General features: G+C 43.8%; 2 protein-coding genes across 6 annotated transcripts in view, besides 1 other annotated feature; both read left to right on the top strand.

Moving 5' to 3' along the window:
* The window catches only part of LAMB4 (laminin subunit beta 4), a 118,700-nt gene extending 113,545 nt beyond the window's left edge, over nt 1–5,155 (top strand). For 2 of the 3 annotated variants that reach the window (XR_927421.2, XM_011515975.2), the window contains one exon: nt 4,139–5,155. Coding sequence is in view for 1 of the 3 variants with exons in the window: in XM_011515975.2 (XP_011514277.1) it covers nt 4,139–4,142 (4 nt within the window). In the remaining 2 variants the exon portion in view is untranslated. Of the gene's footprint in view, nt 1–1,790; nt 1,829–4,138 lie in introns of those variants that run through there. The other variant, XR_927422.2, reaches the window with a different exon arrangement.
* The window catches only part of LAMB1 (laminin subunit beta 1), a 79,363-nt gene continuing 76,462 nt past the window's right edge, over nt 13,656–16,556 (top strand). For all 3 annotated transcript variants that reach the window (NM_002291.3, XM_047420359.1, XM_047420360.1), the window contains exons 1-3: nt 13,656–13,706; nt 13,846–13,968; nt 15,084–15,259. In NM_002291.3, coding sequence (NP_002282.2) covers nt 13,932–13,968; nt 15,084–15,259 — 213 coding nt within the window. In that variant the 5' untranslated portion in view covers nt 13,656–13,706; nt 13,846–13,931. The remainder of the gene's footprint in view (nt 13,707–13,845; nt 13,969–15,083; nt 15,260–16,556) is intronic.
* Nucleotides 15,218–15,818: an enhancer, noted in NCBI's record as "H3K4me1 hESC enhancer chr7:107641444-107642044 (GRCh37/hg19 assembly coordinates)". NCBI's record gives its function as "activates a minimal SCP1, AML or CMV promoter by ChIP-STARR-seq in primed H9 embryonic stem cells {active_cell/tissue: H9 hESC(primed)}" and the evidence as "EXISTENCE:reporter gene assay evidence [ECO:0000049][PMID:30033119]".

The following is a 16,556-nucleotide window of genomic DNA, read 5'->3' as shown; positions in this document are numbered from 1 at the left end:
GAAGACTTTGAAATATTTAGTCAATAAAACATTCATAGTGAAAAAAACCTTAAAATCTACTAGCTGAAGATATTACCTCTGATGAGGAAAGATATAAAATGACTGTCAGAAAACTACTAACACAGCTAGGTTAATTTTTAGAGACACTAGATGCAGGTATCAGCTCTCACATATGATTTTTCTCACTGATGTTGCCTGTCATTCAGGAAAGAGGTTTAAGAAATTCCAAAATAGGTTGGGCTCAGTGGTTCATGCCTGTGGTCCTAGCACTTTGGGAGGCCGCAGCAGGCGGATCACTTGAGGCCAGGAGTTTGAGACCAACCTGGCCGATATGGTGAAACGCCATCTCTACTAAAAATAGAAAAATTAGCCAGGTGTGATGGAACATGCCTGTAGTCCCAGCTACTTGGGAAGCTGAGGCACAGGAATCATTTGAACCTGGGAGACAGAGGTTGCAGTAAGCTGAGATCGCAGCACTCCACTCCAGCCTGAGCAACAGAGCGAGACTCCATCTCAAAAAAAAAAAAAAAAAAAAAAAAAATTCCAAAATGCAAGAGATTTGAAAAATTCCCTCGTCCTACCCCCTCATTTTCTGAAGAATACTAAGGCTAACCTAGCCAGGGCCACTCTGTTAGTTGGAAGAAATGGCAAGGCAGGTGTGATGGGAAATGTGCCCTGCGACTATACTCAGTTTGTTGCACCCTCTTCCAAGACAACTTCTCTTTTAACTGGTCTTAGGCTGTATTAAATGGACCATCAAATAGTGAATCATTTTCTTAAAATGAATAACTGATTTCTTTACATAAATGACCTAAGCTGTAAGTCAAATATTTGAGACATGTGAAACATTTCACAGGAAGTAATTCTGCTTGAAAGAAAACAAAAGACAAAGCGAACCAAATAGAAATACTTCATCTTTGAAATGTTATTGAACAAAACTGTATAATCTGGGGGGACTAGCATGTTTCTTGAGATTAGCCAACTAAGCAAATATACAGTTGTAGCTATTAAACACATTCAATAGGATTGTTTTAAGAGTCTTAAGTAAAAAAAAAAAAAAAAAAAAAAGTCTTCAAAACTTCCCATGCTGTTTTTAAAAATAGGACTACATATAGAAATAACAAAGTAGGCTAAATTTTAGGTGTTAAGCTTGATGTTACCAAATGTATTTATTCAAAACAATTTATTTGATTATATAGGAAAACAAAAAATAACCTATTAGAATAACTACTTGGTTGGAAACACTAGTTGTATATGATATACAACTAATTTCTAGGAATTTGTCATAACCCAAACAGAAATCCAGATTACTACCTCTGTTAAAGTGAATATCCAATTTAAGTCAAAATTTTCTCTTGAATCTTAGTTTATTGAGCCAATTAAAGGTAGCACCTCACTGCGAACTTTCTAGAAAGGATTAGAAATGAAAGTTAAATAGAGCCTGAATATTTAACAACCAAACCACTGTTTGAGAATTCCTAAGATTCGTACCATGGGAAGAAGCTCAAAGCTTGGGAAAGCTGTATAAACATTCCATATCTAAAGATAAACACTGGGATCTTTATGACATTCAGGTTTAGCTTTGTGTTAGACACACTGCATTGTGACTCATCTAGGGAAGGCAAAATATGAATGGAAAAGATTAAGTATTCAGGATCAAGAGAACAATTACTTTTACTTGGAAACAAGAAATCTAACATTTTTTTACAGATCAGTGTAAAGAAGCCAACCTATTTAGATATGACTGATAGGATGTCTTAAATGAGAATTTTTCCTTTTTAAAATCTCAGTTCTAGGCCGGGCGCAGTGGCTCACATCTGTAATCCTGACACTTTGGGAGCCCAAGACTAGCAGATTGCTTGAGGTCAGGAGTTCGAGACCAGCCTGGCCAACATAGGGAAAACCTGTCTCTACAAAAATACAACAATTAGCCAGGTGTGGTGGCTCACGCCAGTGGTCCCAGCTACTCTGGAGGCTGAGGTAAGAGGATCAGTTCAGCCAGGGAGGCAAAGGTTGTAGTGAGCTGAGATCACACCACTGCACTCCAGCCTTAGTGACAGAACAAGACCCTGTCTCAAAAAAGAAAAAAAAAAAAAACAACAACCAGTTCTAGTCTTCAATCCTTCAGACTGCCATCATACATTCTATACAGCAATCATACATTCCTATACAGCAATCATACATTCCTATACGGCAATCATACATTGTATACAGCAAATAAATAGAAATGTCTATACTAAATTTTCTCCTTAAACTCAATTTTCTTTTAACCCACTTTGGGGAGATGAATAATATGTAGACAATTTGAAAGATTTAAACATTTGTGTAAACATTTCTCTGTAAGGAAAAAAAAACAACTTTCTCAACTCAACACAGCTAAACATATTTTGATTGGAACATATGAGCACAGGAAGTGGCTAACAAAAATTAATCGTGGCTACTGTAACATTGCATCCAAACCCAAACAGACCATAACACTTCCTACTCAACTCAAACGAACTCTAGTTTCTAGAAAGTACCTGCATATTTTACAGAATATCAGCAAGCTTGATTTATTTTTCCCAGTTTTAGCTGGCCAGAAGACACTCTTTTCTTGGGGATGTGAACATTGCCCGACATAAAGGATCACTACTGAAAATACATCCACAAGAAACTATCTTAAAATTTATTTTACACAGAGCTTGGTTGCCTATAATTTTGGAATATTGTATTAGAACAAGGACTATACATGTTCATTATAGAGTAAAATCATAAAAGAAGAAACAGCTATCTTTTAATATTTTGAGCTATAAAAATAATTTCTGGGTGGCCCTTTTTAATTCCTCAAAAATTATATATACATGAGTTACATACTTTTTTGTCATTGGAATCTACTCCCCCTACAGCTCCCCACCTACAACCACACATACCCTTTTAAATCACAGAAATAGGTACTATCTTTGTAAGTAACTGTTTGGTACTCTGTTGCATGGGTCCAGCATAGTAATTTTATCTAGTCTCCTATTGATGGTCATTTGGATTATTTCCACTTTTTCTGCTGGAAACAACATTGTAAACATCTTTCTGTGCATAATTTGGCAAGTTTTCCCAATCAAAATCAAAGTTATGTCTGTTTTAAACGTTAGTACATATTTCAGACTGCCCTCCAGAATGGGGCAATTTTACCTTCCCGATTATAATTTATGCTAATGTCCTCATGAGCCTCATTACGATGAGGTGACTAAGACTTGCAGACTTTGACTTACCATTATATGATCGCCACTTTGAGCCTCTAAAGCCAAAGTGGGCATGATGCTTTCTGCATTACAGTAGAGAGCAGTCACTGAACACATTTATAAGGAATTAATACTTTATGTATTAATATTCATGCATCTAAATCATAGCAAACCGCCCACTTTTCTGTATTTCCCACCAAATAAAGTGAAACATGTGATATGCTCTTTAACATACGAATGCGTATTGGCTGTGGCTCACCGTGACTAGACAATTATCTGTAAATGATTTCTCCCCAGAAAGCACAAGAGGCATAGTCCCAGGCATTTATTCCGTCATTCCTAAATGTGCTTGACAAATATCTGAGCACCTGCCAGGTGCCAGCTCTGTGTTTAGGGCTAAGAAAACTAAGATGCTCTCAAGGCACTTGCAATTTGGCACATAAGAAAATTATATTCATACACTAACCACTTACTTAATGAATACTCTTCACACAGCTACAATGTGCTCTGAGATGTGCTAGTGCTGGGGACACAGCACTGAGTGTGAGAGGTGGGGTGCCTGGCCTTATGGCACATCTGTTCTAGAATAATCTAGAAAGATCCTCTCCAATAAGCATGTGTCCAAATATTGTGCCTGGGCAGTGAGGCTGAAAGGGCTCCACATGTGAAGTGCCATCAGAGCGGGGTGTTGAACATCCATAAACACTGGCTTGGCAGAGAAGGAGAAGGCATTCCAGATAGAAGGAGCTGTAGGAGCCAAAAAATTGGGTTTGGTTTTTGCAAATGGTGAGTATATTGAGGGTGGCAGGGGAGGCTGATAAACTGAGAATGTGGAGACAAAAGAGAGATTATATAAGGGCCAGATTGCTGACTAAGAGCCTATATGCTGACTAAGGCATGTGAACTTTGTACTTGTTTCACAGATAAGGAAGCTGAAGCACACAGATGTGATGTAAGTCACCATGATCCCAATTTAAGAGCTTGCCTTGTCATTCAGTAAATTCATTAGTGACTGAATAAACGGTGAGTTTTAATTCTATAGACCTTTACATTTGTATTTCGAAGAAACAACCCAGACTTAATCAAAACTTATAGTCTACTTTCTTCAAGGTATAACAAACATTTATATTTCAAAACTGATTTTTTGTTAGAATTTTTACGTTTGTGTTTAATTATTACCAGTTATAGACAAATACATTCTCCTTGTTTAAAAAAATACAGGTAAGGCAAGAGTCCCCTTAACCCCCATCCCAAATACAGTCCACGTATCCCATAAAGTACCTCCTGTTATCATTTGCTATGCCTCCTTCTAGAACTTTATTCATATGTTTATAGAAATGTGTTTATATTTTGTTTATAGAAATAGAAAATTAGAAATTGTTATCATTTCTATGTCTCCTTCTAGAACTTTATTCATGTGTTTATATAAATATGTTTATATTTTATTTATAGAAATAGAAAATTAGAAATTATGTTGTTGTTTGCTATGCCTCCTTCTAGAACTTTATTCATATGTGTTTATATAAATATGTTTATATTTTGTTTATAGAAATAGAAAATTAGAAATTATGTTAACATTTGCTATGCTTCCTTCTAGAACTTTATTCATATGGTTTTATATAAATATGTGTTTATATTGTTTATAGAAATAGAAAATTAGAAATTATGTTATTTGCTACATCTCCTTCTAGAACTTTATTCATATGTGTTTATATATATATATATGTTTATATTTTGTTTATGGAAATAGAACATTAGAAATTATGTTTTTCAACCCTTATTTTACCAATAGCATATACATTTAAGATGCAGACAATGATTAGTATACAGCAGTGCTTGGCCCATAATAGGTCTCAAGAATTGCTTGCTAAAGAATGAGAGTGGGCCGAGTGCAGTGGCTCACGCCTGTAATCCATGCACTTTGGGAGGCTGAGGCGGGCTGATCACCTGAGGTCAGGAGTTCAAGACTAGCCTGGCCAACATGGTGAAACCCTGTCTCTACTAAAAATACAAAAATTAGCCAGGCGTGGTGGCAGGTACCTGTAATCCCAGCTATTTGGGAGGCTGAGGCAGGAGAATCGCTTGAACCTGGGAGTTGGAGGTTGCAGTGAGCCAAGATCGTGCCATTGCACTCCAGCCTGGGGGACAAGAGCGAGACTTCGTCTCAAAAAAAAAAAAAAAAAAAAAAAAAGACTGAGAGTTATGTCACTGATAAGGCTTTTAAAAGGTACTAATTAGGAAGATGGGTGGCACTCCCAAAGTCAAAGGTCAACCAAATAATGGTGTCTATCACCAACGGGATTAAAAAGTCCTCTGGATAGATGACTGGATTGTCAGCTCCATAGTTCATGATTTCCAAATAGGATCACTGAGAAATCATTTAGTCCCAGATCCTTACTAGACTGGAGGCTAACACTGGCATTTCATTAGCCATGCTGCAGAGAACAAACACATCCTACAACCTCTTTGCCTGGCAAACAGCCCAATATTTGAAATAGAACCTAATCCTGGAGTGAGACCGAGTGCTGACTTGTTTCTGATGTGATAAAAACACAGCACTCAGCTCTGGGTGGGCTGGCCTTCATAAATCTGATTAGCAGCCTTAGTAGCAACAAGCATAGCAGCTATGATGAAATAAATGCTCTCTTTCCAGAAGAACAGGCTTTTTCTTTTAGAGGAACTGTAACTGTAGAGTTAATTAATGTAGAAGGCCAAGGGCATTATGGTTGGAGAGAGGAGCAAGACCACTTCTATTTGAGAGAGGAGATGGCTTTTACTAGTATTTTTATCACTTCTGAAATGTGCTCATAGCAAAGATCCATCTTACCCATCTTCCCAGGGTAAAAATACTGGATTGAAAATTAGGATTCGCTTTCTGTCCAAGCCATGAATAGTAGTAGAGTGTTTAACTTGCTCATTGAATTGTTTCCTGGATCACCCTAGGTAATAATTAACAACCCAGAACTATGAGATAGTCTACTCTATTGCTACAAACCTATCACTCTGATCCTCTCATACAAAGATATTGCCTGAACCTTACTGGCTTTAAAATAAAGGTGAAATAAGCAGCACTTTTCATTTAGAAAGCATTTCCTGAGTACTGACTATGTGCCAAGCACAGGATTAGGAACTCACAGGGAGGTGTGGTGGGGATTTCAGGGACTCACTGAAAGCAGAACTTGACCTTTCAAAGAGAGAAAGACAGAGCCTAGATAAAAAGCAGAGTAAAGGAAGACTAAAAAATTGAAATATTTGGAAGACAGTCTTTTTTTTTTTCCTCCAGATTTTGCTGAATTTCAGCATCCTTAAAAGCTGGGGAAAGTACCATCAGCTGTAATAAAAACTTCAAAATAATCTTTAAAATACAATTTCAGGTGGATTCCTGTAAGAGATGAACTGAGTTTTAATTAGGAAAAGTTTTTCTGATATGGAATAAGTATTTCCCACTGAGTGTTAGCTGTCTACTCAATTTGACATCAGTGTTTTTCAATAAACGTCGTGATTCACTCATGAACGGATGTAAAAGTTAATGTACCAGAAAAATAAAGCTTGGGTTCATGACTAGTATTCAAGTCTTAAGGCGTTTACTTGACTACATTTAAGTTACTCCTGTTATGGATCTGATAAAACTTTCTTTAAAAGAGATTTCCTCTGGCCCTCTAGCACTAACTCAGACATCAATCTCCCTCCTACTCATTTTTAAGGTGCCAGGTTAGCAACCAGGTGCCAAAATTCATATACAAGAGTGAACTGAGAAAAACTTGCCCCATTTAGGCATTCCTGTTAAATATAGATTCAAACTTTTTTAAAAAGATTTGGAATTTATGGGCATAGATGGGTAGAAATTAAGCGGCACCCTTTCTTCCATTGGATCCTGCCACCTTCTTGGGAGGTGAAATGCAACGGGTATGCAGCCTTGCAGAAAGCCTGTAAAGAGTTTGAATGAGGCTTTCTTGCACCTATTTTAGTGACTGTCTTCAAATGAATGTAGATTTGAGTGCTCTCATTTGTGATCTCTTTGAGATATTTAAGAATAGACAAATGACCATTTATTTTATTTTATTTTACTCTATTTTATTTTATTGAGATGGAGTTTCACTCTGTAGCCCAAGCTGAAGTGCGGTGGTGCGATCTCAGCTCACTGCAATCTCCACCTCCAGGGCTCAAGTGATTCTCCTCGTGCCTCAGCCTCCCGAGTAGCTGTGACTACAGGCGCATGCCACCATGCCCGGCTAATTTTTTGTATTTTAGTAGAGACAGGATTTCACCATGTTGCCCAGGGTGGTCTTGAACTCCTGAGCCCAGGCGATCTGCCTGCCTCAGCCTCCCAAAGTGCTGGGATTATAGGCGTGAGTCACCACGCCTGGCCAACAAATGACCATTTTTAAGACAGTGTTGATAAAGTCCTGCCTGCATCAGTCAATATGCTGCAGTTTTTTTAAAGCCTCCTAAATTTCAGGCTAAAAACAACAAGTTTAGGTCTCTCTCATGCTACATGTCTAGAAAAATGTATTGGCTAAGGTAAAGTGTACTGGCTTCAGGTATAGCTGGATCAAGATACTCCAAAGTGTTCTTCAAGGACCCACCCTCTGGTTCCCTCAGATCTTCTTTCCTTTGTGTTGGCTCCAGTCTCAAGCAGCCTCCACCAGTTCCAGGCTGACATTCACATAACTCCCAAGTCCAGAGGGAAAAAGAGGTGTTTTTTGTTTTTTGGTTGTTTGTTTTTTCCCAGGAATTCCAACAAAAATCCCAGAGTCATCTTATCTAGAATATATGAGTTTCATATCCATCCCTGAACCACTCACTAGAAAGAGGAAGATGGAAATGCACTGAATAGCCTGGAGTTCATGGGGGAATTAGCCCTATTCAAATCAAGTAAGCTGAAAATGGGAGAGGACTAGTCCCTCAAGGAAAATCCAGCCAATGTTACCAGATGAAGGGAGGATGAATGTTAACGCAAGCCCAAACTACTGTTTGCATTATATGGTTCGAGGCTTAAAATGTTGTGACTTCCTGCCTGGTTTCAGGCCCTGATGGTTTTCCTATTACAGAGGGTAGCAATAACGTCCCCTGTGTGTTCCCTTAACAATTATAAAGAAGGTTACTCAATTTTATTCATCCAACAAGCAGATATTGTGTGTCTATAATATACTAGAAACTGCCACCTGACGGGAATCCAAAGTCTAATGAAAGACAGTCTCTGCTTCTGGGAAGAAGGAAACTAAAACAAAACTACAAATTACTGTTGTACGTATTATAAAAGACATATATATATATAAAGTATAGCATGACATTTGACCTGAATCTTACTGGTCATTGAATTTACTTTTCTAGATCAATTCTGAATCTCACAAAATGCACTTAAATCTAATTTTTAAAACAGAAAAATCTAGTATTTTTCATGAGAACAATGTTATATAAATAGCCACATTTCAGGACCCAAAGATTGAAGTCTAGAATGTAGCATCCTTGTTGTTCTACTGTCAATCAGGATTTCAAAGGAGACACACACGGTGTTCTAAGACTGTGTGAAAGTGAAGGTGACCTTGAAAACAGTTCTTGTTTTGTTTTCAAACGAAAATAATAAATGCTGCAGGGAGATAACTGTCACACATTCTTTGAGACAGAACAGCCAACAATTTGCAATCCCATCTGCCATTTAAACTGCTGCAGAATTCTTTGGTAAAGACTGCTTTATGCTAAAGCAGGTAGTGCCAGCTTAGTACAAATGATAGACGAGAGAGGGTTGTGTTGACAGCCAGAGCAAAGCCCTGGACAGGCTTACTAACAGAAGAGATTCATTCCTCCTCAACTTGTCACATCTTCACAAATCAGAGGAAATTGTATGAAATATAATAGACGAGAAGAATTTGTGAGTGAAACTTGGAATTATTCCCAAAATTAAGTCAAGTGGTGGTATTTCTTTTTCTCTTTGGCTAGAAATTCATATTAAGGTAGAAAAAAGTGGACATTTAAGATTTAAGGAAGTTTTTAAAACATGGAGACTAGTCTTCATTTACTTTCATTCGAGACACACTTATTGAGCACATGTAATGTGCCTCATTTTATGCAAGGCAACATTAATGCAAAAACGAATGTTACACAATACTTGTCCTTGTCTCACTGTCTATTGGGGGAGATAAGGGCATAAACAAATAGTTACAGCATTATGTTATATATGCTGTAACAGGCTTTTACAAGGAGGAGGAGAGAGAGGCTCATGGAGAAAGTCATGTTTAAGAGGAGTCTTCAAAGGTGTGCAGTTCACTAAGTTGACAAGGTCAAGGAGGACCCACGTAGTGAAAGGAAAGCCATGAAGGAATAAAGTATGTCATACACAGGGAAGGAGCAGAGGGCAGCCATTGAAGGCTTTTGAATAAGGGAATGACATGATCAAAGTTTTGACTCTGAAAAAATCCTTCTGCGGGTATTAGGAAGGATTAGACTGAAGAGAGGAAGAGTCTGGAAGTAGGAACACTTGTCGGGGGCTCTGGCAGGCATTCAGACTGAAATCTAAGGGAGGGCAATGAGGTTGGAGCAAGGGGACATGCTGGCTAGTTGCTAGGAAAGTAGAAATGACAGGACCTAGTGATGGGGAGGGGAGGGAATGAAGGAACGAGAGGTGCCCAAGATTCCCAGGCTAGGCTGGCTTCATGGGCATGTGATTTGTGCAATTGCACAGCACCCCCTACCCCACTCAGGAGAGTCCCATGCTAGGTTTAATGCTCTTTCACTGTCTTTACATTAATAATAATAGAGGGGCTCCACATTTGTGCCCTGCTAATCATGCAGCCAGTCCTGTTCCCAGATCTCCGTCTTGAGCTAAGGGGTGGATTATGGTGCCAATAATTGAAATGGGAAACAGAAGACAGAACACATTTTGTTGTAGGAGAGGTGGGTGGAGAGATTTCAGTTTTGCCACAGATGAATTTCATTTACCTATGGGTCATCAAAGTAGAGATATTCAATGGCCTGTTGGAAATGGTATGTAAATTCCAAGTGAGGTACAAGCTAGAGATATGGGAATTAGAGGTTGAGGAGAGTCCAAGTGATGCACCCCTGGATATGGATGAGTAAAGGGAGCAGAAAAGAGAGACAGAACCTTTGGTAGCACCAATGTTTAAGGGATCAGAGAAGGGCAAGATAAATGGGAGAGGAGGGGTCAAAGTCTTGTGGGAAAATTCTGGAATTATGTCCTGGAAGCTAAGGAGAAAGGAGTCTCAAGAAGGAGGGTGTGATCATCTGAAGCATAAGCCACAAAGAGATCAAATAAGATCACAATGGGAAAACGTCCATTGCATTCAGATTAGAAAGTCAAGGGCACTTACCAAGAATAAATGTGTGCGCAAAGAATTGCAGGGTGCACAGAGCTTCCCCTCCTTCCTAGGAAGACATTGTAGATGCCACGCCCATTCCAAGCTCTTGGATACGAGGGGCGGAGAGGACGTGTCACTTTCTAAAGAACAAACACAACAGGTGGACCCTGTTTCTAAAGGGTTAACCCGCCTTCCCCGAGTGCAGGGCATGAGAGTTTTAGCCGTGGGCACCGTTTGGTGATTCTCCAAAGGAAGGAGAGGGAGTATAGAGTCTTTATCCTTCATTCCAGCCACATTGCCTAGAGCAGGAGTATGGAACAAAGCTCAAGCTTTGATTGAGCAAACCCTAGAATTTGCTCAATCCTTCCTTTGGCTTCATAGCTCAGGTTCTTGAAAGTATAGTTTGCTCTTATGCTCTGCTTTCCCCAAGTTCCTCCTCCATTCCATGGCAGTGTGGCTTCCATCTCCACCACGGTTCTTGGTAACTGACCTTGACTTTTTTTTTTTTTTTTTTTTTTTTTTTGAGACGAAGTCTTGCTCTTTTTGGCCAGGCTGGAGTGCAATGGCTCAATCTTGGCTCACTGCAATCTCCACCTCCCGGTTTCAAGCAATTCTCCTGCCTCAGCCTCCCAAGTAGCTGAGATTACAGGCGCCTGCCACCACACCTAATTTTTGTATTTTTAGTAGAGACGGGTTTCACCATATTGGACAGACTGGTCTCGAGCTCCTGACCTCGTGATCCACCCGCCTCACACCCCTTACAGGCATGAGCCACCATGCCTGGCCACCCTTGGCTTTCTAATTGCTGAATGCAATGGACATTTTCCCATTGTGATCTTATTTGATCTCTGTGGCTTATGCTTCAAGATCTCCCTCTTGAAACTCTTTTCTCCTTAGCTCAATCTTTGATTCCATGAGCAAATCTCCAGAGCTCAAGCTTTGATTCCATACAATGTAGAGTTTGTGTTGTTTTTACTTAAAACAGGAGGAGGCTGAGCAAGTATATGAGAGCACTGAACTTAGTAGATGAGAGGAGGGCACACTTCTAGGAGAGAAGCACAAAAGATACAGGTGGGAAGGGAGGTAGGCAAATTCATAGATGAAGTGGTCAGAAGGTGAGTGTTACACACACTCCTCCCCCTGCACATATACAGGCAAATTTTTAAAAACCTAATTTTCTCAGTAGTGTTCAATTTACTACTGCAAGTGAGGTGATCAGGAGAGCAGGTAGGCTTCTGAACAGTGCTGAAAGTAAATGACCTTTTGCAAGGGGAGAGGACGCTGAGCAGGGACAGGTAGCAAGGAGGGCTCAGCTGCTGTGAGAGCAGAGGTTAGGCTCAAGAAAGAAAAGGAGCTGAAAGATGCTTGCAGTGTGTGCACATGAAAATACGAAACTCTGGCCCAGGGTATTAAAAGCTCAACAGGAAGAAAAGACATTTGCCTTTTAATATTTTTCTTTTAATTAAGCCCTGAAGACCCTCCATTGCAATTCTACAGCCTCCCAACAGCAAGGACTTTCTCAGCGCTTTCAGGCTACCCAGCCGGCGCAGAGGATCCTAAGCCTCAGCAGAGGCAAAACCTCCCCAGGCTGTAGCAGGGCAAGTGCTGATTTGGTGAATAATTAATGCCTCACTCACCTAGACCCCAAGGCTCCCGCCTGCCTCAGACTCGTGCAGGCTTACGAACTCGTAAAGCAGCTGACTCTATGGTCTAATGATTAAACTTCTCTGGGCCTTATTTCGTTACAGCTAAGTTAAAAACTGACCAGCTAGCCGCTTAAACTCTTCTCCCGGAAATGACTGGAAAACAAGCCAAGTCTCCTGACTGGACTGACAACTAACTATACTCCCTGAATTCCAGCCACATTTGCCCAGAGCAGGACTCCAAGCTTTGACTCTGTCCATTGCTAAGGGTAGCAGAATGGGTGGTGGGGTCCCGTCACCAACCTCTTTTCCCTCTCCAACCCCTAGAAGGTGGTGAGTTTCTATGTACCCCTAATTTCACCAGGCAGGTTACACTGTGTTGTTAGAGACCCTTCATTAGAGGCCCTCTCCCCACCTCAGCATTTGCACACCATGGAGAATCGTCGAGATGAGCGTTGTGGGGAAGTGCCTCTCATGAGAGATTTCCACTTCCTGGCTGTGTCAACTCTTCCACGGCGAGATGGGAAACGGAGTCAGTAACAATAATAGTGTCATTTGAGGAATTACCTGAGCTAAAGCCATCATCTGGATATAGGTAGGAAGATTTTTTTTTTTTTTTGAGACGTAGTTTTGCTCTTGTTGCCCAGGCTGGAGTGCAATGGCACGATCCCGGTTCACGGCAACCTCCTTCTCCCAGGTTCAAGCGATTTTCGTGCCTCGGCCTCCCGAGTAGCTGGGATTACAGGCGCCCGCCACCACGCCCAGCTAATTTTTGTATTTTTAGTAGAGATGGAGTTGCACCATGTTGGAAGTAGATTTTTTAAAAACAGAACTGGACGTTCAATTCAATGCCGTGACCACCTGGGTAACAGGGATTACAGATAGGTCCTGAATAAATGTGTGCGCAAAGAATTGCAGGGCGCACAGAGCTTCTCCTCCTTCCTAGGAAGACACTGTAGATGTCGCGCCCATCCCAAGCTCTTGGATACTAGGGGCGGAGAGGAAGTGTCACTTTCTAAAGAACAAACACGACAGGTCGACCCTGTTTCTAAAGGGTTAACCCGCCTTCCCCGAGCGCACCGCACGAGAGTTTTAGCCGTGGGCACGTTTGGTGATTCACTTCTTGCGAACGTAAATGCGCGAGTCCGCGGTAGGTCCCGCCGGCCCCCTGGCTGGGCAACCTGAAAACCCACCTCGGAGACGCCCCCACGCATCCGCCCCCCTCGCTGGACGGCCCCGCCGCGCGCCGTTCTGGGACGCGCACCCCGGGGCGGACCCGCCCTGGGACCTGGAAGCGCCCCAGCCCCGCAGCGATCGCAGATTCGGCTTTCAAACAAAAGAGGCGCCCCGGGGGGTGGGACCGGGACCTCACCCGGTCCTCGCAGAGTTGCGGCCGCCCGCCCCTTCAGCCCCGGCTCTCCGTATGCGCATGAGCAGAGGCGCCTCCCTCTGTTCCTCCCAAGGCTAAACTTTCTAATTCCCTTCTTTGGGCTCGGGGGCTCCCGGAGCAGGGCGAGAGCTCGCGTCGCCGGGTGAGGAGAACAAAGTGGCTGCACGATTTTCCCCACTTTCCAGCCCACCCCCCGCTTCCGTGGGAGCGACAGGAAATGGAAGGGCGCCTCTTCTCTCTTTGAACATTTGCCTTTTTTCCCCTCCTTTCCACCTCTCCAGAAAGGAAGACGGGAAGAAAGGGCAGGCGGCTCGGCGGGCGTCTTCTCCACTCCTCTGCCGCGTCCCCGTGGCTGCAGGGAGCCGGCATGGGGCTTCTCCAGTTGCTAGCTTTCAGTTTCTTAGGTAATTCCGTGGAAACGGTGCGGGGAGGCGGACGGACTTGGGCATGGGGAAGGAAAACCCAAAAGCTGCTTGCTCACCTTCGTGGGATCCTGGGGGCTTGGGAGAGGGACTGGATGGAAATGACGCCCCTGGGATTAAACGCCACCGCCCTTGCTTCGGTGGTGGCTGGAGACAGCGCACGCGGAGCGCCGCGGACCCTCATCCCCCGGGCTCTGCGCCCAAGCCCCGGCCCCTGCGGCCTCCCGCGGCCCCCGCTCAGGGTTTTGCACCCTCGGCCGGTTCACCCTGGGTTTCCCCACCGCAGAGGGCAGGTTCCCTGGGGTTGGCGGTGCTGACCGAGGAGGGCTCTCCAAAAATCCATTGCCCAGGAGAGTGCCTGAGCTGAGCGGAGGCTTCATTCTGGGAACAGATGGGGGCCATGTGGCTTTAATTAACCATCTCTGTTTGTCTCCGGATGGCACCAGAAACAGCAGGACCTGGCGCTTCCCTGGAATGGAGAAGCCTTGAAACCACTCCAGAGCCCCAGGGACTGTCCATGGGCTCCCCTAGCTCCGGAAAGCGGCGTCCACCGCGAGCCCCGGCGCCTCGTCCCCAGCGAAGCGCCGGTGACCCTCGCGCGTGCACGCACACGCACTCTCGCTTCCCAAGCTCACAGATCTCCACGCGCACACTCACACCGAGGATGCGCGGGCTGCCGCGTGCACGCGGGTTCACGTGCGTGGGTGTGTGGCCCTTTGGGGGTCAGCCTCCCTGCGCCGGGCTCCGGACACGTCGAAGTGGAGGGTCTACACATCCACCCTTTGTTGGGGGAGCTGCTCCCCGGGGCTGATCAGGGTGGGCGCGAGCGTCGGTGGGTTTCCCGGGAGGGAGGCTCTCGCTGCTGGACAGACCTGATGACGTGTGTGGGTTTCTTTCCGTGTCCTTCTCCTTTCGGAGTCCCTGCCTTCCCAGCCTCTCCTGCGCTCATCTCTCCATTGTCTTTTCTGTGCATTTTGCTTTCTTCCGAATGGACTGTCCTCTCTCCGCACCCACTCCCCCGCCCCCGCTTGTTCGTTTTTTTCGGGCTCCACTCCCTGCTTGTGTCCCCCCAACTCTGTTGCCTGTCCTTCCCGCAGCCCTGTGCAGAGCCCGAGTGCGCGCTCAGGAACCCGAGTTCAGCTACGGCTGCGCAGAAGGCAGCTGCTATCCCGCCACGGGCGACCTTCTCATCGGCCGAGCACAGAAGCTTTCGGTGACCTCGACGTGCGGGCTGCACAAGCCCGAACCCTACTGTATCGTCAGCCACTTGCAGGTGAGGGCTGAGAGCGGGGTTCGAGGCTCTGCTAGCGCCTCCTCCCGTCCAGACCTAAGGGGCAGGCCCTGGGGACTCCGCATCCTTCCAGCAATCCAGATAGGAAGCGCAGCCAGCCGGGGAGTCCCGGGATTAGGCTTGTAGCTCAACCTTTCGCCCCATCTCAGTTTGCACAGTTGCATCCGCCACACATTTCCTGCCGGCGCGGTGAGTATGGAAAGGCAGGACTGCCGACAGCCCTGGCTGCCCTGACCCAGAGCCTCCAAAAGGCCTGATTGTGTGTGTGTTTTTTAAAACTTTAGTTTTGGAAGTGTGCATTAAAGGTGATTTATCCTCTTTTTAAAACCCTTGGGTTTCCCCACCCCCCTCTACCGCATCTTCACTTGGGTAAAGAGGATTCCAGCAATGACAGGCGTCTTGCAAGGTGATTCCAATCACTGAACGAACCCGTTTTCCTCTCCTCATTTGGTGCTGTTCCCAACTAGATATCAGGATCAGATGCTTGCTTTTACGAAATGCCCTGGTTGCCATGGTACCCTGATACAGGAAGACCACAGTGAAATTTCAGGGTGTTACCTGTTTCTAAAAGAGGGCCCAAATTTTAGATTTCAGGGGTCATATTTATACAAAGTCAAAAGTAATTTTAAAAGAAGACACAAAGTGTAAAATATTCAGAATCAGAATACTTTTCCTTCATTTTTAAAAAGGAGGCTGGCCGGGAGCAAAATGGCTCCATGCCTGTAATCCCAGCACTTAGGGAGGCTGAGGTGGGAGGATCACTGGAGCCCAAGTGTTCAAGACCAGCCTGGACAACATAGACTCAGTCTCTACAAAAAATTTTTAAAACTTAGCTGGGCGTGGTGGTCCACACCTGTGGTCCCAGCTGTCTGGGAGGCTGAGGTGGGAGGATCACTTGAGCCCAGTAGGTCGAGGCTGCAGTAAGCGATAATCAGTCCACTGCATTCCAGCTTGATCAACAAAGGGAGACCCTGTCTCAAAAAATTTTTTTAAATAAAGGCTGATATTTCTGGCCTCTAACAAAAGCAGAAAGTATCAGTTTCACATTCGGGGCAAGTTCCAAGCTAATTGCTCAGAACATGGTCAGCCCACCCACCTGTACAATTGCCCTTCAGAAGGAGGACAGAGTATTGTGTGTGGTTTGCACAGCAGATCCCTTAAAATGGAGTCACTTTTACAAAGCAGAAAGCCCATTCTGGAGACCTGATCAATTAGACCAAAGGAATGTGGTAAAGTGGATTCCGTTCATTTGCTTCCAGGTTTATACAGAGATGTCTAG

This window comes from Homo sapiens, chromosome 7, assembly GCF_000001405.40.
Source record: "Homo sapiens chromosome 7, GRCh38.p14 Primary Assembly".
Lineage (NCBI taxonomy): Eukaryota > Metazoa > Chordata > Mammalia > Primates > Hominidae > Homo > Homo sapiens.
The sequence above is the reverse complement of the archived record's forward strand: the minus strand, read 5'-3'. Positions and strand labels throughout refer to the sequence as shown.